The sequence below is a fragment of the Homo sapiens genome, chromosome 15, assembly GCF_000001405.40.
Source record: "Homo sapiens chromosome 15, GRCh38.p14 Primary Assembly".
Taxonomy (NCBI): domain Eukaryota; kingdom Metazoa; phylum Chordata; class Mammalia; order Primates; family Hominidae; genus Homo; species Homo sapiens.
This window is the reverse complement of record NC_000015.10, coordinates 35,265,209-35,286,838: the sequence shown is the minus strand read 5'-3', so window position 1 is coordinate 35,286,838 and position 21,630 is coordinate 35,265,209. Positions and strand designations below refer to the sequence as shown.

Sequence of the window (21,630 nt, the reverse complement as noted above, 5' to 3'; positions counted from 1 at the left end):
AGGGGAGAACAAAAATACCTCTTAGTTCTCTTAGCAGAAAATTATGATAGATAATTTAAAAAAGAAAAACTTTTTCAAATAAGTATACATCTCACCAGTCCCCTCCCAAAAATTTTAATAAACTAAGGATTTAAATTTACCTTTTCAGACAAAGTTTTCTAAATTGAATAAACAAGATAATGTACTGGATAGATCAATATTTTTATTGTCTTTAGACTTTACAATTCTTTTACTCTAGATAATGTCCACTAACCTAGCAATGCTAGTTTAACTCTCAATGTCTTATGAACTATTTATTCAGTCATTTGTTCATTTAGTCACTATATGCTCCTACTGCTTATGTTGCCTATTCTGTGTCCTTTGAAGGATGCTGTGCAAGAGTTTATTTCCCATAGGGATGGAGAGTGAAGTGAGCAGAGAAGGCCCAATCAATGATTTAATCAAGAGGTATTCATTGGGCGAAGCACCTCATCCAGAGTTAATGGCATTGCCACTCTGCGAATGAGTCTCAGAAAATGAAGAGGTAGCTAAAGGAATTAGCTTATTAATGTGCTATCATCACATCTGGACTGGATCCAGTTCTTGGTGTTTGTCTGGAAAATTCACTGCTGCTACAGTATTGTAATACCTGGCAATTCTCATGTTAATGGAAGGGTTAGTAGTTTGTGTTTTTTAATCTACCTAGTCTGTGATGAAACTCAAATATTTATTTGACAATAAAGTGATGTTTTTTACCCAGGACAGGTGAATTCATGAAGCAAACTATATTTGTTTTCCATTCTGCTTTCACTAGCTTGTCTTTAATAAGTTCATTGCCTCAAAGATTATTAATAGCATTTGGATGATTTTTCCATTTTGCCCCAGCTTTAATAGCTGCCTCTATGAGCTCTTATTATCATTTCAGAGTTATTTCTTTAGGATTCTTTATAGTGAACAAGTGGTCTCAGGTAAAAAAAAAAAAAAAAACTCAAAGATAAAATGATAATTGAGTCAGTCCAGAATCTCATCAGGAAGAATGTGCCAGAGAAATCTAGTCTAGATATTTCTGGACATACAGGTAACTTCCTCAAGTAAACAAGAATGTTAGCTAAACAAATTTCCACTTAATTCGATACTATTTATTTGTAAATATAAAAGAAATAGATTAAGTAATTACTTAATTTTCATTGAAAATTTTAATTTGAAAAGTACTTCTTTAGAGAAAAATGGTGTGTTATTCCATTTTCACACTGCTCATAAAGACATACTCAAGACTGGGCAATTTACAAAAGAAAGAAACTAATTTACTTACAGTTACACATAACTGGGGAGGCCTCACAATCATGGCGGAAGGCAGGGAGGAGCAAGTCACATCTTATGTGGATGGCAGCAGGCAAAGAGAGAGAGCTTATGCAAAGGAACTCCTCTTTATAAAACCATCAGATCTCGTGAGACTTATTCCCTATCATGGGAATAGCATGAGAAAGACCCGCCCCCATGTTTCAATTACCTCCCACTAGGTCCCTCCCACGACACGTGGGAATTGTGGGAGCAACAATTCAAGATGAGATTTGGGTGGGGACACAGCCAAACCATATCAAATGACTACTGTAAGTTCTTTGAAAAGTTATTGGTACTGGAAAATAGGAAGAAATCAAGGGTAGGAATAAAACATACTTATTTTAGATACAATTTTTTTTATCCCGACCAGGGAGATATCTCAAATGCATCCCAATGTATATACATTTTAGGCCAGGCATGGTGGCTCACACCTGTAATCCTAACAGTTTGAGGGATGAAAGTGGGAGGATCACTTGAGCCCAGAAGTTGGAGACCACCCTGCGTAACATAGCAAGACCTCATCTCTACAAAAAATGAAAAAATTAGCTGAGCATGGTGTGCACCTATAGTCCTAGCTACTTGGAAGGCTGAGGCAGGAGGATTGCTTGAGCCCAGGAGTTCAAGGCTGCAGTGAGCTGTGATTGCACCACTGCATTCCAGCCTGGAGGACAGAATGAAGCCTTGTCTCAAAAAAAAAAAAAAAAAAAAAAAAAAAAATTTGGAGACTTCACCCATGAATTTTCCTTTTATATCTGTCATAGGTTTGCTTTTTTTTTTAATACAGAAGTCATCATACTTGTTTCTGGCTCAAACTTGCCATGCAACCCCTGAAGTCCTTTTACTAGGACTGTAGGGAAAGGAAGTATTTCTTCTTTCATTCATTTTTCCAAGCTCACCACTCCCCCAAAATATAGGTCTACTGGCTGTTACAAAATAATTTTTATTATATATATAATTTATATTGTAAAATATTTCTGAAGTTATAAGGTAAATAAATAAAACAGTAAGTGCTCTCACTTTTTTCTTTTCATTAATATTTAAATCACCATTTTTATTGTCCAGAAAATTTTTGCAATCTATTAGTCCGTAATGTAGACACGTCTCCTTGGACTATTTCAGGATAAAAATTTAGCCAAATAACACATTTTACCTTAGGGGGAAAAAAAGCAGCACTTAATTTCCTCTACACACAGGTTAAGTTTATTCCTCATGGATGATTTAGAAGGGTTTCTTGTTGTATATATTATATGGAAAAGACATTATTTGTAAATATGTGATAAGATTATATTGTATGCTTATTAGGTTGGGATGTCATCAAGCTCTCAAAGTTTCTGAAAGTATGGGGCAGCTGATGAGTGAGGATAGATGACAAAAGAGAAAAGTCAATAGTTTGACTGTGGAAGATGATCAGATCACACTTGAAATGGAAAGCTTCCCTGTTACCAGAAGAGAACTATGTCCTGAAAAGAAATAGTGTTCTGTCCTGTTGGCCCCTCCGAACTGGATTAAAAGTAATGGATTTTAAAATTTATGCTTAATGAAAGAATAAAACATCTCAAATTACTACAGCAAAGATAAAGATAAAGAGACCCAGAAGAATCACTAGTGTAATTTTTGGAGAACCATTTCTCCCCACCATCAATTTATATTGTTATGGCTTTTATCTTACATATTGGATGTCGAAAGTCATTTTCCAGGGCATTCAGAAGTTGTCTAAGACTCCGTGTGTGTGTGTGTGTGTGTGTGTGTGTGTGTGTGTGTACTATCTGTGCCCAATGAAAAAAGTAAACCATCTTTCTTGCTAGAAATGGTGGCCATTGTTTTTACTTTAGGTTGAACATATTTTGGTGTTGGTGATAGGATTCTAGAGGACCCTTCCCTGGGTTTGATGGGGTGGGAAGAACCATATAAGAAGTTATTCAGGGGCCGGGTGTGGTAGCTCATGCCTGTGGTCCCAGCACTTTGGGAGGCCAAAGCGGCGGATCATGAGGACGGGAGTTTGAGACCAGCCTGGCCAATATGGTGAAACCCCATCTCTGCTAAAAATACAAAAAGTTAGCTGGGCATGGTGGTGGGCGCCTGTGGTCCCAGCTGCTCGGGAACCTGAGGCAGGAGAATTGCTTGAACCTGGGAGATGGAGTTTGCAGTGAGCCGGAATTGCACTCCAGCCTGGGTGACAGAGTGAGACTCTGACTCAAAAGAAAGAAGAATAAGAGGAGGAGGAGGAGGAAGAAGAAGAGGAAGAGGAAGAAAGAAGAAGAAGAGGAGTAGGAGGAGGAAGAGGAAGAAAGAAGAAAGAAGAGGAAGAGGAAGAAAGAAGAAGAAGAGAAGAAAAAGAAGAGGAAGAGGGGGAGGGGGAGGGAAAAGAGGAAGAGGAAGAAGAAGAGAAGAGGAGAAGGAGAAGAAGAAGAAGGGAGAAGAAGAAGAAAGAAGGAAGAAGAAGAAGAGGAAGAAGAAGAAGGAAGAAGAAGGAAGAAGAAGAAGAAGAAGGAAGAAGAGGAAGAGGAAGAAGAAGAAGATGATGATGATATTCAGGAGATCAGCTCAAGATGTGCAGGCCAAGCCTGAACATGTCATTGGTGCAAACCCAAGTATTGTTGATGTTCTTCAACAGGAACATCTATATGGTGGAACCCCCCGATGGGGTCTTCATCCACCTTAAGCTGGCCCACAACCAGGCTGATGATGCAGCTGGCGTGGGCTGATGGTCCTGTGCTGTGATGCTGTGCTGGATTTTTTGGAAGGGATGACTAGACAACTTCTCCACAATGGCAGCTTTCCCCTGGAACTGCTGTCCTTCCCACGTAAGGCATGGCACATCAATGTAAATTGCACCTAGTTGGGTTTTATCATTATGAAATAACTGGTAGTAATGCTGAATGAAGCTGGATCCAATCTGCTCCCAGATTGGCTCATCTCCCATTCTGGAGCATCACCCAGCCTCATTGAGATCTGAAGGGTTGGCACAGTGGCAGTGGCAGCATGACAACCCAGCACAGTCTGCCAAGACTGAGCTTCTTCAAAAACTATTTGTGAAAACTGCTGGGTGTGGTGGCTCACACCTGTAATCCCAGTGCTTTGAGAGGCCAAGGTGGGAGGATCGCTTGAGGCCAGGAGTTCAAGACCAGCCTGGGCAGCATAGTGAGACCTTGTCTCTACAGAAAAGTAAAAATAAAAAAATTAGCCAGTTGTAGCAGCACATAACTGTAGTCCCACCTGCTTGGGAGGCTGAGGCAGGAGGATTGCTTGGGCCCAGGAGTTCCAGGCTGTAGTGAGCTATGATTGCACTGCTGCACTTCAGCCTGAGTGACAGAGCAAGATCCAGGCTCATTTAAAAACAAAAAGAAAAACTATTTGCAGAAGCTGAATCATGTAGAAGGAGTAGCAAAAACAAACAACGAACTAGAAAATTAGTTTTATATAAAAAGAGAATGGAAGAGTTGGGGATATGCTTGGAGAAGCAATAGCTGATAAAATGAGTTGAATAATATTATATTCTTGAATACTATGTTGTCTAAATTCTATGAAGCATCTTGGTGAGAATAATGCTGTAGTTGTTCTATTACTAACTGAAGACAATATACAAGAAATTGATTTAAGTGAAAATAAGCAAACAAACAAAAAAATCAAACAATTTGTTGCAGGGGAAGATGTCTTGACCAGGGGACAATGAAAGGCTAGTGTAGGCTACCTGAGGTATCTACGGTAGATATCTCTATTAGAATGTGTCACTCCAAACATATTCTTCCTTAAGCTGTATTGGCCCTCAGAGATTCATTGCCTGACTCATACATGATAGTCAATAAATATTTTAGGAATGAATGTATGACTGGAGCCTTTTTCTCCCCAGCCTGGGAATTCATGAATGTCTTGCTAAAAGAGATGATAGCTGAAGAGTAGACCAATGTTTTGGATGGAATAATGGATTTTAAGAAGTCATGACTTTGTTAAAAGCTATAAAAAAGAAAATGAGTTGTCTGGCTTCCAGCCTCCTGCTTAGGTCAAAAGTCATGTCTCCTTTTGGTCATTTTCTTCATGAAAAAAAATTATTATTAGCATATGTTTTCTCAATTTAAAAAAATTATTTTGGGTCAAAATATGTCAATATGTATTTAAATAACAATGTTTTAAAGTTTTCAGGCAGTGTTTCTCTTGGGTCTTTAATTTTGTGAGCTATTTGGGTGATATACCATAATTATTTTTAGAATGGTTTCATTATGTTTATAGTTTTAAAAGGAAGCAGTCATAAAATTTGCCTTTGAGGTCTCCTAAAAATAAGAGTTTGCTTGAGGGAGCAAGACTTACATGACCTTTTGATTTTTACAGGACAGTTCACTCAGAATTGTGTGTGAAGTGGTAGTAAAGGACAGATAGACAATTATTTGCCTATTTTAATATCATATTTGTGGGGGGAGGGGGGAGAGATAGCATTAGGAGATATACCTAATGCTAAATGACAAGTTAATGGGTGCAGCACACCAGCATGGCACATGTATACATATGTAACTAACCTGCACATTGTGCACATGTACCCTAAAACTTAAAGTATAATAATTTTAAAAAGTCACAAAAAATATATATATCATATTTGAAGCATTCACCAGTAGAAAGCATAGAAAAGTAAGTCAATTGTCTGTCCAACAATGATCTAGATGAGCTAATGCACTTGCTGTAATATCTGAGAAAACTTGAACTTTTGAAAACTGATTCTTTGTTATGAGAACTAGGAATAAAATTGAGAGACTTCATAAGATTTTTATCCTCAATGAACATAAAAGAGAAAATTTTTTTTACCTTACCTACTTAATAATGCATTAGGTTTTAGTAACGCTTCTAGAAATTTAAGTTTGAAATTTGCACCTTTAATATGTTTAAGATAAATGGATAAATAGTTCTCTGTAGCTATGAAAACCTAATATGGAGTAATCCAAATTTCACATTTGCATTATTATCATTAAGGCTGATGTGTACTGTTGGCATGTGCACAATATGAATAATTCTATGCTATTGTCTCAGTTATCAGTATATTCTCTCTCTCTACTTTTTAAAAGGCTAACCATTTTATAAATTCTAGCTTAAATCACTTCTCTTCCATGATACTTTCATCCCAGTCATGAGCTACAAGTGATTTTTCTTTACCCTAACCTCCAATATTATTTATTGCTTAAGACTCTCTGGTTATCATTTGAAGAAGCCTACTAATGTTGTTTAAGTCAACAGTAGGAAATGTATTATTGTGATGCTGTGCTATCTTTCAGAACATCAAAGTAGAAACTGTCTAGCCCTCAGAAGGCTACTATGAATTGGAACTAGACCCAGGAACCAAAATCAGAATAATAATGATAGGAAAGATTTATGTTATTGTATTAGTCTGCTTGGGCTGCCATTACAAAATACTATAGACTGGGTGACTCAAAGGACAGAAATTTATTTCTCACAGTTCTGGAGGCTGGGAAGTCTAAGATCAAGGTGCCAGCCAATTTGGTTTCTGATGAGGGCTCTGTCTTCTCACTGTGTCCTCATATGGCCTTTCCCTGGTACATGTGTGTGGGGAAAGAGATTACTCCCTCATTCTCTTCATATAAGGTCATCAGTCCTATTGGATTAGCTTTATGACTTCATTTAACCTTAATTTCTTTCTAAAAGCTGACTCCAAATACAGTCACGTTGAGGGTTAGGGCTTCAACATATGAATTTGGGGGGTGGGGAGTTAGTTCTTGCAACACTATGAAGAAGTAACTGAAGCTGGGTAATTTATAAAGAAAAGAGGTTTGATTGGCTCACAGTTCTGCAGGCTGCACAGGAAGCACGGTGCTGGCATCTGCTTGGCTTCTGGTAAGGCCTCAGAAAGCTTACAATCATGGTGAAAGGCAAAGGGGAGCAGGTGCATCCTATGGTGAGAGAGGAAGCAAGGGGTGGAGGAGGTGCCACACTCTTTTAAACCAGGTCTTGCATTAACTCAGAGTGGGAGCCCACTTATGGGGAGGACAGCACCAAGCTATTAATGAGGTATCTGACCTCATGACCCAAACACCTCCCACCAGGCCCCTCCTGTAACACTGGAGATTACATTTCAACCTGACATTTGGAGGGAGCAAACTTCCCAAACCATATCCTTCTGCCCCTGGTTCCTCAAATCTCATGTCCTTACATGCAGAATACAATCATCCCATCTCAATAGTCCCCCAAAGCCTTAACTTATTCCAGCATTAACCAAAAGTCCCAAGTCCAAAGTCTCGTCTGGAGATTAGTTCTTTCCTATGAGCCTGTAAGATTAAAAAAAGTTATTTACTCCCAAGATACAATGGTGGTGCACTTATTGGGTAGACATTCCCATTCCAAAATGGAGAAATCACCCCAAAAAAAGGGGCAATAGGCCCCACACAAGTCTGAAACTCAGTAGGGCAGTCATTAAATCTTAAAGCTCCAAAATTATATATATATATATATTTTTTTTTTTTTTTTTTTTTGAGACAGAGTCTCACTCTGTCACTGAGGCTGGATTGCAGTGGCGTGATCTCAGTTCACTGCAACCTCCGCCTCCTGGGTTCAAGCAATTCTCCTGCCTCAGCCTCCTGAGTAGCTGGGACTACAGGCATGTGCCACCACGCCCACGTAATTTTTTGTATTTTTAGTAGAGACTGGGTTTCACCACGTTAGTCAGGATGGTCTCAATTTTCTGATCTCATGATCCGCCTGCCTTGGCCTCCCAAAGTGCTGGGATTATGGGCTTGAGCCACTGCTCCTGGCCCAAAATAATCTCCTTTGACTTAATGTCCTGCATTCAGGGGTGGACTCCTAAGGCCTTAGGCAGCTCAACTCTATAGCTTTGCTGGATGCAGCCCACAGGGCTGCTCTGATGGGTTAGAGTCCAGTGCCTGTGGCTTCTCCAGACTGAGGATGCAAGCTGCTGCTGCCTCTACCATTCTTTGGCCTGGAAGGCAGTGGCCCCCTTCTTACTGCTCCACTAGGCAGTGCCCTGGTGGGGACTCTGTATAGGGTCTCCAACCTCACACGTCCCCTTGGTGCTGCCCTACTAGTAGAGCCTCTCTGCGGGGGCTCTACCCCTGCATCAGGCTTCTGCCCAGGCACCTAGGCTTTCCCATACATTATCTGAAATCTAGACAGAAGCTGCCAAGTCTCCTTCACCCTTGCATTCTGTGCAGCCACAGGCTTACTGCCACATGAAAGCTGCCAAGGATTACGGCCTCACTCTCCAAAGTGGCAGCCAGAGCTGTACCTGGGGCCTTTGAGCCACATCTGGAGCTGGAGCAGCCTGGTTGCAGGGAGTAGCCTCCCAAGGCTGAGCAGGGCAGCAGTGTCCTTGGCGTGGTCCCTGAAATCATTCTTTCATCCGAGGCTTCTGGGCCTGTGATATGAGGGGCTGCCTCAGAGATTTCTGAAATGCCTTCAAGACCTCTTTTCCCATTGTCTCGGATATTAGCATTTGGTTCCCTTTTAGTCATGCTAGTCTCTTTAGCAAGTGGTTCCTCCACAATCTGCTTGTATTCCTTTTCTACCATGTACCAGGATGCAAATTTGTCAAACTTTTATGCTCTGTTTCCCTTTTAAATATGAATTCCAACTTTAAGTCATTTATTTGCTCCTGTATCTGATGATAGGCTCTTAGAAGCAGCCAGGCCACATCTTGAACACTTTGCTGCTTAGAAATTTCTTCTGCCAGATACCCTAGGTCATCACTCTTAAGTTCAAACTTCCACAGATTCCTAGGACATGAACACAATGCAGCCAAGTTCTTTGCAACAGCATAATGGATAACCTTTACTCGCGTTCCCAGTAACTTATTTATTTCCATCTGAGAGCTCTTCAGCTTGGACTTCACTGTCCATGTCTCTATCAACATTCTGGTCATAACCATTTAACTAGCTTCTAAGAAGTTGGAAACTTTCCTTCATCTTTCTGTCTTCTTCTCAGACCTCCAGACTCTTCCAACTTCTGCCTGTTACCCAGTTCCAAAACCACTTCCACATTTTCAGGTATCTTTATAATAATACCCCACTCCTGGTACCAATTTTCAGTATTAGTTCTTGCTTTACTCTAAAGAAATACCTGAGGCTGGAGAGCAGTCAGACAAGAGGGGGAAATAAAAGGCATCCAAATCAGTAAAGAGGAAGTCAAACTGCTACTGTTTGCTGATGATATGATTGTATACCTAGAAAACCCTAAAGACTCCTCCAAAAAGCTCCTAGAACTGATAGAAGAATTCAGCAAAGTTTCCACATACAAAATTAATGTACACAATTCAGTACCTCCCCTATACACCAACAGGAACCAAGCTGAGAATCAAATCAAGAATTCAACCCCTTTTACAATAACTGAAAAAGAAATACTTAGGAATATACATAATCAAGGAGGTGAAAGACCTCTGCAAGGAAAACTACAAAACACTGCTGAAAGAAATCATAGATGACACAAACAAATAGAAACACGTTCCATGCTCATGGATGGGTAGAATCAATATTGTGAAAATGGCCATACTGCCAAAAGCAATCTACAAATTCAGTGTAATCCCTATCAAAATATCATCATCTTTCTTCACAGAATCAGAAAAAAAATCCTAAAATTCATATGGAACCAAAAAAGAGCCCACATATCCAAAGCAAGACTAAACAAAAAGAACAAATCTGGAGGCATCACATTACCTGATTTCAAACTACACTATAAGGCCATACTCACCAAAACAGCATGGTACTGTATAAAAATAGGCACATAGACCAATGGAACAGAATAGAGAACCCAGAAATAAATCCAAGTACAGCCAAATGATCTTTCACAAAGCAAACAGAAACATAAAGTGGGGAAAAGACACCCTATTCAACAAATTGTGCTGGGATAATTGACTAGCCACATGTAGAATAATGAAACTGGATCCTCATCTTTCACCTTATACAAAAATCAACACAATATGGATCAAGGACTTAAATCTAAGACTTGAAACTATAAAAATTCTAGAAGACAATATCAGAAAAACCCTTCTAGACATTGGCTTAGGCAAGGATTTTTTGACCAAGTACCCAAAAGCAAATGCAATAAAAACAAAGATGAATAGCTGGGACTTAAATAAACTAAAGATCTTTTGCATGGCAAAAGGAACAGTCAGCAGAGTAAACAGACAACCCACAGAGTGGGAGAAAATCTTCACAATCTATACATCTGACAAAGGACTAATATCCAGAATCTACAATGAACTCAAACAAATTAATAAGAAAAAACAAACAATCCCATCAAAAGTAGGCTAAGGACATGAATAGACAGTTCTCAAAAGAAGATATACAAATGGCCAACAAACATACGAAAAAATGCTCAACATCACTAATGATCTGGGAGATGCAAATCAAAACCACCTTAGTCCTACAAGAATGGACATACTTAAAAATAGAAAAATAATAGATGCTGGCATGGATGTGGTGAACAGGAAACACTTCTACATTGCTGATAGGAATGTAAACTAGTAAAACCACTATGGAAAACAGTGTGGAGATTCCTTAAAGAACTAAAAGTAGAACTACCATTTGATCCAGCAGTCCCACTACTGTGTATCTACCCAGAGGAAAAGAAGCCATTATTCAAAAAAGATACTTGTACACGCAAGTTTACAGCAGCACAATTCACAATTGCAAAAATGTGAAACTAATCCAATGGCCATCAATCAACAAGTGGATAAAGAAACTGTGGTATATATCTATGATGGAATACAACTCAACCATAAAAAGAAATGAAGTAATGACATTTGCAGTCACCTGGATGAGATTGAAGACTAATATTATTATTTTTTTTTTTTTTTACTTTAAGGTCTGAGATACATGTGCAGAATGTGCAAGTTTGTTACATAGGTATACATGTTCCATGGTGGTTTGCTGCATCTATCAACCCATCATCTAGGTTTTAAGTCCTGCATGCATTAGGTATTTGTCCTAATGGTCTCCCTCTCCTTGCTCCCCACCCCCTGACAGGCCCCAGTGTGTGATATTCTCCTCCCTGTGTCCATGTGTTCTCATTGCTCAGCTCCCACTTATGTGTGAAAAAACGTGGTGTATGGTTTTCTGTTCCTGTGTTAGTTTGCTGAGAATTATGGCTTCCAGTGTCATCCATGTTCCTGCAAAGGACATGAGCTTATTCTTTTTTATGGCTGCATAGTATTCCATGGTGTATATGTGCCACATTTTCTTTATCCAGTCTACCATTGATGGGCATTTGGGTTGGTTCCAAGTCTTTGCTATTGTAAATAGTGCTGCAATAAACATACATGTGCATGTGTCTTTATAGTAGAATGATTTATAATCAGCCAGGCGCGGTGGCTCAAGCCTGTAATCCCAGCACTTTGGGAGGCTGGGGTGGGCAGATCATGAGGTCAGGAGTTCGAGACCATCCTGGCCAACATGGCGAAACCCTGTCTCTACTAAAAATACAAAAAAATTAGCCAGGCGTGGTGGCGGGCACCTGTAGTCCCAGCTACTCAGGAGGCTGAGGCAGGAGAATGGCGTGAACCCGGGAGGCAGAGCTTGCAGTGAGCCGAGATTGCGCCACTGCACTCCAGACTGGGGGACAGAGCCAGACTCCGTCTCAAAAAAAAAAAAGAATGATTTATAGTTCTTTGGGTATATACCCAATAATGGGATTGCTGGGTCAAATGGTATTTCTGGTTCTAGATCCTTGAGGAATCGCCGCACTGTCATCCACAACGGTTTAAATAATTTACACTCCCACCAACAGTGTAAAAGCATTCCTATTTCTCCACAGCCTCGCCAGTATCTGTTGTTTCCTGACTTGTTAATAATCACCATTCTAACTGGCGTGAGATGGTATCTCATTGTGGTTTTGATTTGCATTTCTCTGATGACCAATGATGATGAGCTTTCTTTCATATGTTTGTTGGCTGCATAAATGTCTTCTTTTGAGAAGTGTCTGTTCATATCCTGTGCCCACTTTTTGATTGGGTTTTTTTTTTCTTGTAAATTTGTTTAAGTTCCTTGTAGTTTCTGGATATTAGCCCTTTGTCAGATGGATAGATTGCAAAAATTTTCTGCCATTCTTTAGGTTGCCTGTTCACTCTGATGATAGTTTCTTTTGCTGTGCAGAAGCGCTTTAGTTTGATTAGATCCCATTTGTCAATTTTGGTTTTTGTTGCAATTGCTTTTTAGTTATGAAGTCTTTGCCCGTGCCTATGTCCTGAATGGTATTGGCTAGGTTTTCTTCCAGGGTTTTATGGTTTTGGGTTTTACACTTAAGTCTTTAATCCATCTTGAGTTAATTTTTGTATAAGGTATAAGGAAGGGGTCCAGTTTCTGTTTTCTGCATCTGGCTAGCCAGTTTTCCCAGCACCATTCATTAAATAGGAAATCCTTTCTCCATTGCTTGTTTTTGTCAGGTTAGTTGAAGATCAGATGGTTGTAGACATGTGGTGTTATTTCTGAGGTCTCTATTCGGTTCCATTGGTCTATATATCTGTTTTGGTACCAGTACTGTGCTGTTTTGGTTACTGAAGCCTTATAGTATAGTTTGAAGTCAGGTAGGATCCCTCCAGCTTTGTTCTTTTTGCTTAGGATTGTCTTGGCTATACGGACTCTTTTTTGGTTCCATATGAAATTTAAAGTAGTTTTTTTCTACTTCTGCAAAGAAAGTCACTGGTAGCTTGATGGGAGTAGCACTGAATCTATAAATTACTTTAGGCAGTAAGGCCATTTTCATGATATTGATTCTTCCTATCCATGAGCATGGAATGTTTTTCCATTTGTTTGTGTCCTCTCTTATTTCCTTGAGCAGTGGTTTGTAGTTATCCTTGAAGAGGTCCTTCACATCCCTTGTAAGTTGTATTCCTGGGTATTTCATTCTCTTTGTAGCAATTGTGAATGGGAGTTCACTCAGGATTTGGCTCTCTGTCTGTTGTTGGTGTATAGGAATGCTTGTGATTTTTGCACATTGATTTTGTATCCTGAGACTTTGCTGAAGTTGCTTATCAGCTTCTTATCAACTGCACTGAGTTTGGGGGCTGAGATAATTGGGTTTTCTAATATATACAACCATGTAGTCCGCAAACAGACAATTTGACTTTATTCTAAGTGAAGTAACTCAGGAATGGAAAACCAAACATCGTATTTTCTCACTGATAAGTGGAAGCTAAGCTATGAGGATGCAAAGGCGTAAGAATGATACAATGGACTTTTGGGGAAAGGGTGAGGGACTCAGGAAAGCGTGAGAAGGGGGTGAAGGATAAAAGACTACAAATTGGGTGCTGTATATACTGGTCGGGTGATGGGTGCACAAAAATCTCACAAATCACCACAAAAGAACTTACTCATGTAACCAGACACCACCTGTTCCCCAGTAACCTATGGAAATTAAATTTTTTTTTTTTAATTTTAAAGAAATACCTTAGGCTGTGTAATTTATGAAGAAAAGAGGTTTAATTGGCTCTTGGTTCTGCAGACTGTACAGGAAGCATGGTGCTGACATCTGCTCAGCTTGTGATAGTCCTCAGGAAGCTTACAGTCATGGTGAAAAGGCAAAGGGGGGCTGGTATATCACATGGGAGCAAGAGAGGGAGCCATGAGGGTGGGGTGTCACATTCTTTTTGGTTTGTTTTTTTTTTTTTAGATGGGGTCTCGCTCTGTTGCCCAGGCTGGAGTGCAGTGGTGCGATCTCGGCTCACTGCAACCTCTGCCTCCCGGGTTCAAGCGATTCTCCTGCCTCAGCCTCCAGAGTAGCTGGAATTAAGGCATGCGCCACCATGCTCAGCTAATTTTTCTATTTTTGGTAGAGATGGGTTTCACCATGTTGGCCAGGCTGGTCTTGAACTCCTAACCTCAGGTGATCCACCTGCCTCGGCCTCCCAAAGTGCTAGGATTACAGGTGTGAGCCACCATGCCTGGCCCCACATTCTTTTAAACAATCAGATCTCACAGGAACTCAGAGCAAGAAGTTACTTATTATTGTGAGGTTCCAAGCTATTCATGAGGGATCCACCCCCATGACCCAAACACCATGGGTGTTTGGCCCTACCTGGAACACTGGGGATTACATTTCAACATGAGATTTCAAGGCACAAACATCCAAACAATATCAGCAAGGACATAATTCAGTCCATAACATCATGCTTCCTAGATGTTAGCCCTTATTATAAGCACTTTGGATATAAAGTCTTTCCTTAGTTTCCATGGGGGAAAACTTACAGGACCCCTATGGACACCAATATTCACAGATACTCAAGTGCCTTATATTAAATGGCCATAGTGTCTGCACATAACCTATATACATCCTCTTGTATACTTTAAATCATCTCTAGATTAATTATAATATCTAATACAGTGTAAATGCTATATAAATATTTGTTATACTCTATTGGTTTTTTGTGTTTTTTTATTGTATTGTTATTTTTATTGATTTTTTAAAATATTTTTGATCTGTGGTTGGTTGAATCCACAGAAGCAGAATCCATGGATACAGAAGGTGAACTGCATTGTCTTTAATGTTCACAAACACCCTATAAAATAGATAGTATTTTACCACCATTTCATAAATAAGGAAAACAAAGAAAACATGAAGTAAGTAACTTGTCTGAGGTTACATAGTTTATAAATGATGAAGCCAAGTTTAAACACAGCTGTGTGGTTATAGAGTTCATGCCCTTGAACACTGAGCTAAACTGCCCTGCTGAAGCCAACAGGACTCCCTTCTGTCATCTCTGTTTCTATCTAGGTGTTTGCTCTACCTCGCAGCGTAGCTTTCTCTGATTCTTAAGTCCATGGGAGAAACATCCCCAGCCCTCAGCCCCAGAGATTCCATGTTTCAATTCTCAATCCCCATCCTGTATGTCTGGGACAGAGAATTCTACCACCATCGTGGGTCAGCTTTGCCCTGCATAGTGCCTGACAATATTGATTGAAGAAGTGAATACTTGAGTGGTCACTATGTATTACTCCAACTGCCTCTACTCTATATGTGTAACTGTAACTGGCAAAATGGATGAGTCATGCTCTATTGGTGCTTACTGGTCTTGTTATCCTGTTATTCTCCCCTGAGATGGCACCTCGATTCAGATGCTTTCCTTTGAAACAACTTTAATTGATATGGGTGTTTTTTATCAAATGTTTTTTTCTTCTTCTTGCCCTGAGGAAATGTTTGCAAAGAATATATTTTCATATCCCTTTTCTTCAAGTTATGAAATGAAAGCTACCCAATTGGGGGTAGGGGGTGGGGTTGATGAAAGCCAGAAAGGGTGAATAATGCCTGTTTGTGTGTTTGTTTGTTTGTTTAACTCCATTGACCTTTTATTTAACCCTTCTTTTCCTATGGGAACTGTCAGAGGTTTGGGCAGCATGGCAGCTTTTTGGGATAAGTGTTAGTTACACACTGTGAAAGAAGTTTGGCTGAACTAATCCTTTTGTAGGGAAGCCTTATGTTTGGCTGTCAGTGGTTTCCTGGACGTATTTATACCCTACCTCAATTCTAAATCCTCTCTATCTGATTAGACCAATAACTAAAAACATGCAGTTTGTAGGTAGATGGTCTTCGCTTCAGCTCCCATTTCTATCAGTTTACAAGCTTTGTGACCTTTGGCAAGTTACTGAACTTCTCTGTGTCTGTGTACTGAGCTATAAAATGAAAAGGATCAAAGGATCTTTACATCGTAAAACTGCTATGAGATTTAAATAAAAATGTATTTAAGTATCTTGTCTGTGTTAGAAGCTCAACAATTGGCTTTCTTCTCATTTCCTTATTAGGAGAATGTAACCGTAATAAAAATATGTAGTGGACTAGATCCTTCTAGGAAGTTGTCATTCCCTACAAACACAAGAGCATTTCAAAGGAATATTTAGTATTTCAAGATATTAGAGTGTATTAGGGAAATAACTTAGGTTTTTTCTAGGTGCCCTTAAAGAAGTAAACTAGACACAGCCTCCACTATTGTGGACCAAATGCATTAACCAAGTCCAAAAACTGTAGAAATAACTACGGAAAAATCACTGTAACTGCATTATCAGATTACTACTTGAGGCACAATTCATGAAGGCTAGAAAAAATGTATAACCTTAGATCCTACCTACTTCTATTCAAAATTTGAGAACCAAAGCCCAGATGGTTCTATTTACCATCAAAATTATCTCACCTTTAACTTACAATACAGATAACAAAATAGCTGACAAGATCAGCAGAACCGATGCACTCCATTCATAATATTGTTTCTCTGAAAATGATTTTCCACTTCAATGCAACATGGACTAAAGACTATAGCAAGTAATCTTTTATTTCCTTTCTTTCTTCTTCTTTTTTATTTCTTATTTTCCTAATTGGTGCCAATAGATACCATTCTTTTGGTTGCTAACAGACAATAGTTCAACTCAGTGGATTGCATCTTACATTTCAGTTAATGTTCAGAGTTTAGAAACACACCCTTAACAAGGCCGGGCGCGGTGGCTCACGCCTGTAATCCCAGCACTTTGGGAGGCCGAGGCGGGCGGATCACGAGGTCAGGAGATCGGAGATCGAGACCATCCTGGCTAACATGGTGAAACCCCATCTCTACTAGAAATACAAAAAAGATTAGCTGGGCGTGGTGGCAGGTGCCTGTAGTCCCAGCTACTCGGGAGGCTGAGGCAGGAGAATGGCGTGAACCCAGGAGGTGGAGCTTGCAGTGAGCCAAGATTGTGCCACTGCACTCCAGCCTGGGTGACAGAGCAAGACTCCGTCTCAAAAAAAAAAAAAAAAAAGAAACACACCCTTAACAATGTGAAAGAAATAAAGAATACATAAAATGAAGTCCTGGCCGGGCGCGGTGGCTGCGCCTGTAATCCCAGCACTTTGGGAGGCCGAGGCGGGCGGATCACGAGGTCAGGAGATCGAGACCATCCTGGCTAACATGGTGAAACCCCGTCTCTACTAAAAGTACAAAAAAAATTAGCCGGGCGTGTTGGCGGGCGCCTGTAGTCCCAGCTACTCGGGAGGCTGAGGCAGGAGAATGGCGTGACCCCGGGAGGCAGAGCTTCCAGCCTGGGTGACTCCGTCTCAAAAAAAATAAAAATAAAAAAATTAAAAATAAAATGAAGTCCTAAAATTCACGGAAATAGGTTTATCCTTACTGACTAAAAGCCCTAAATAAGTCTAAACATCTCATTTTGTTCAAGGATTTCTGGGGTTGCATTGAGTTCTCCTTACTCTTAGAGAGATTTAATCAGACCATATAATCAGATAGTTTGTCCTAAGAGCAAGCAATAACTACTAAATTTAGGAATGTTCATAAGAAAACAGTGAAGAAGAAAAAAAGGAATATACATTTTACATTTTAAGGAATTGGAATGATTTAACTTAGGAAGGAATAACTTTGAGAAGAACTAATAGTCTTCCAACATATGAAATAATTTATTTAGGTAGTCCTCATAATATGTTTTCTATTTTTATAGGATATCAGGGGATAAGTCTGAATAGCAGCAGAAGACTTGGGGATTGATATTGGGGAGTTATTGTAAATGAGCTGTCAATCAATATAATTATTTTCTCAGAGACTTACATAATTAAAAAGGTGATTTTCATGTTGGAAACATTCATCTTGGCATTATTTTACATGAAAGCTATTTAATATTCTTTATTTTAATTATATTTGATTCTCCTCTGCCTAATGGTCTTTCCTGCCCTCTTCCTACCTTGCCAGCCTTGTTTTTCCTATCTGATTTTCCTCCTCATGTGCCCTCACAGTAGTTAATTCTACAAAGCCCAATTCCTGGTCCTTTGTTCTTTTTATACCTTTTTTTTTTTTCCATTTTTTATACCTTCAATTAATTGGCCCATCTGTCCCTAAGGTTCTGTAACATGACTTCATGTTTAACTTCCTTTTAATCTTATGTTTTCAAAAATATATAGTATTAGAAGATATACTGTAACCACCTCACCCTCACTAAGTTTTTTCTGCTTTCCCCTAAAAAAATTTTTTTAAAGCAGCAGAAGAAAAAGACTCCTCTTTCCCATTGTTTTTTTTTTTAGAGCTGCAAACTCACAAATCTTACAGGCTCCCAAAATAGGAGACCTCAAGTCACTTTTGAATATTTTGTCATCATCTCTGCATTGAATATGTCACCCATTCTTTCCTTAATAATATCTCTCAGACCTGTATTTTCACCTTCATTCCTACCATTGCTATTCTTACCACATTATATCTGCACTACTGCAGTTGCCTGTCTGTTCTATCTAGCTTCAATCTTCCACCTTCCTACTTCTTGCTGCAAATATGGCTACACCATTTTATTTTATTAATGATACACTCTTGCTCAAACTCCTTCAGTTTTCTTTTATTTATTTATTTATTTATTTATTTATTTATTTATTTATTTATTTTTTGAGACAGAGTCTCGCTCTGTCGCCCAGGCTGGAGTGCAGTGGCACAATCTCGGCTCACTGCAAGCTCTGCCTCCCAGGTTCACACCATTCTCCTGCCTCAGCCTCCCGAGTAGCAGGGACTACAGGCGCCTGCCACCACGCCCGGCTAATATTTTGTATTTTTAGTAGAGACAGGGTTTCACCATGTTAGCCAGGATGGTCTTGATCTCCTGACCTCATGATCTGCCGGCCTCGGCCTCCCAAAGTGCTGGGATTACAGACGTGAGCCACCGCGCCTGGCCTAGTTTTCTTTTGTATACTACACACCAAATTCAAACAGTTTTGCTTTGCTTCCATTAGGTTATATTGGTAGCACTAGGATCCTATTTGAGCACTGGACTAAGAAACCCAAGAGTCCTCATACCTTCCTCTACTATAAATCTCATGAGGCTCCAAAGGGAGATAAATACACAAAAAGGGATGGCAAATGAATAAAGATGAGTTGTATGTAACATTAACAAGGTGTCTGAAACCATCAGGCTATTCTCGAAAACTGATGAACAATTAGAAGTTTAGGCCTAAACATAGCTTCTCCATCTCCAAAAGCCAGATATTGCCACAAACAAATCATCAAGCATGAGATAATTAGAATTCCCCGGAAGCTAAGAGCTCTTAGGATTGGGGAAGATAGAGAGACCAAGAGACAGGCAGTAAGGAAGTAGGAATAAGGGCCTGCCTTGAAAAAAGTGTATCCCTTTGCCTGATAGGTGAAAAAATAGCATCAGCAGCAGAGGAGAGCTAGCTGAACCAAGAAGGCCTCAGTCCTGCTGCAGATCTAGTTTCAGTGGTAGAAGAGAAGAAGCAAAGAGCATTCATCCTTGTGTGTGACCTTTTGGCACACATAAGTAAAAATGGTCCAGTACAGATCAAGGCATCTCACCCAATCTGATCAGCAGCTCCTCCCTGCCCACTCACAACAGTTTACAAGGCTCTTTGGAAGCAAGCCCTTGGCAGCCTTATTTTTCATTGCTCTCAGTTTTGTTTTTTTTACTGCACTTTATACTGTCCATGCACATTTCCACTTCTTGGATTATATATTTTATTTATCCTATCCTTCATATATCCAGATCCTTGTATCCTTTCAAGACCAGTTTATGACTGGCCTCCTCATTGAACTCTACTATTGCTGCCCACAGTGATTATAAATGCCTCCAAATTTCTATGAATTTTATTATTATTTTACTCAGTTTTGCACTTAGTTGTCCACTAATCATTTTATTTCTGTATTAATGTTATGTATTATAGTATATATGTATGTAAACTCCTTGAATGCATGAACCATGTCTTTCTTTTCTTTCAAGTAAAGCTCCTAGCATAGTACCTATTGTATTGTAGAAACACAGAGCTACAAAGACAATAGAAAACAATTATTACTGATTATTGGTTGATTAAATAATTACCTTTTGATTCTTAAGTTATGTCTATGTGGTACTGTTAAAATAAAATCATAATGGAAGTATATAGCCTGTTCTACCTCCTTTAGACATTTGATACCAACCAGGAGTAATATTCAAAATACTTAACAGGCATTATCGAACTAGCACTGGCCAATCAGAACAGATTCTGACTGCTACAATATTAAATTTATGTTAGTTGCTTGACAGTGCAAACTCTAACTAGTTCAGAACTAAAATAAATTGAAAGTTTAGTCCCTGATTTGCCAGAGATTAACAATCTGTAGCCATATATTATATATCTTAGCTGACTTTTTATTAGCCTACCTACAAAGCCAATAAAAGCCAATTAAGCTAATTGAATACTTAACCTGATCATGCTTTCCTTTCCCCTCCTGCTATAATAGCCCTCCTGTTTATATATACCATATATGATTGCCTCTTTCATACGCTGTCTACTTCAAACTTTGATAGACTGATAAGCATCATATTTGGAATGTCATGGTTCACAGTACATGATAAGCATCTCCACTGGCTACTCCTGTAAGTTTGCTGTTACAATACGAAGCATTACTGAATAGCAGCCTGTGCCCTGGGAATGATATAATTAAGTCCCTTCTGATTACTTCTTAGGTAGAAATTACTTTTGGCCTATATGTTTTTAGATTACACATACTTTTACAAAAACATATTTTTGTAAAAGAACATTTTGTAAAGGACACATGTAAGAACATGTGTCCTGGAGAACTTGTATTCAGATTCAACCAGTTAAAACTAAACTAAATTGTTTGTAGAAGTAGCCCTCTACAAACTTCAATATCAACAAAGCAATTTAGGTGTTTTGTTACATTGAATCAGTGACACTATAATGTTACTTCACAATACTGCTACGCCATGACTATCATATGACAGCGATATAAAAGAAAGACTTTTTTTAACTTGTCAATTTACTTTTTAAAACATGTTTTTTGCATTGGTTTCATATTTTACCTGTCAAGTGGTGAAAATTTGTATTTCTAAACTAAACTGTAAAATATTATGGGGATTAGTGACTGTGTTTTTAAACACAATAGATTAGTTTCAAATCCCAAAATAAAAGCTACGGAATTTTTTTTAAAGGCAGAGAAATGTCTTGCTGGGTGCTAACACCTTCAGAAGCTATTATTACAGTGTAGCAGAGGAGGACTCTTGCAGATGGAGAGAGCAGTGTTAAGATTCACACCAGACCTTGTCCTTCTATGCCTTTTCCCCCTGTGCAAAGGAATCTGTCAAATCTTATTCCTTTCTTTGAAGAAATGCCTAAAGAATGTCAGTTCAGTCTGGCTACACTTAGACATCATGTGGAATATTGTGGATGCCTTCAAGAGAAAAAGACATTCTGAAAAATGTAATTTAGGGGTTATCAAAAGGAAGTATTTTGGCTTTTTGTGGCCGGGCTGAAAGTTTACTTCTTTTTCATAATAATGGTTTCTTACACTTATACTGTCCTTTTTTTTCCTTTCAAAGCATTTTAAGATTGAATATCTTT

At 39.1% G+C, this 21,630-nt stretch overlaps 1 protein-coding gene and 1 pseudogene across 5 annotated transcripts in view; one reads left to right on the top strand and one right to left on the bottom strand.

The window, feature by feature from the left end:
* Positions 1 to 21,630, top strand: part of DPH6 (diphthamine biosynthesis 6) — a 401,189-nt gene that overhangs the window by 259,327 nt on the left and 120,232 nt on the right. The gene's annotated exons all lie outside the window — the stretch shown is intronic.
* On the bottom strand, positions 3,854 to 4,324 carry NUTF2P6 (nuclear transport factor 2 pseudogene 6; annotated as a pseudogene).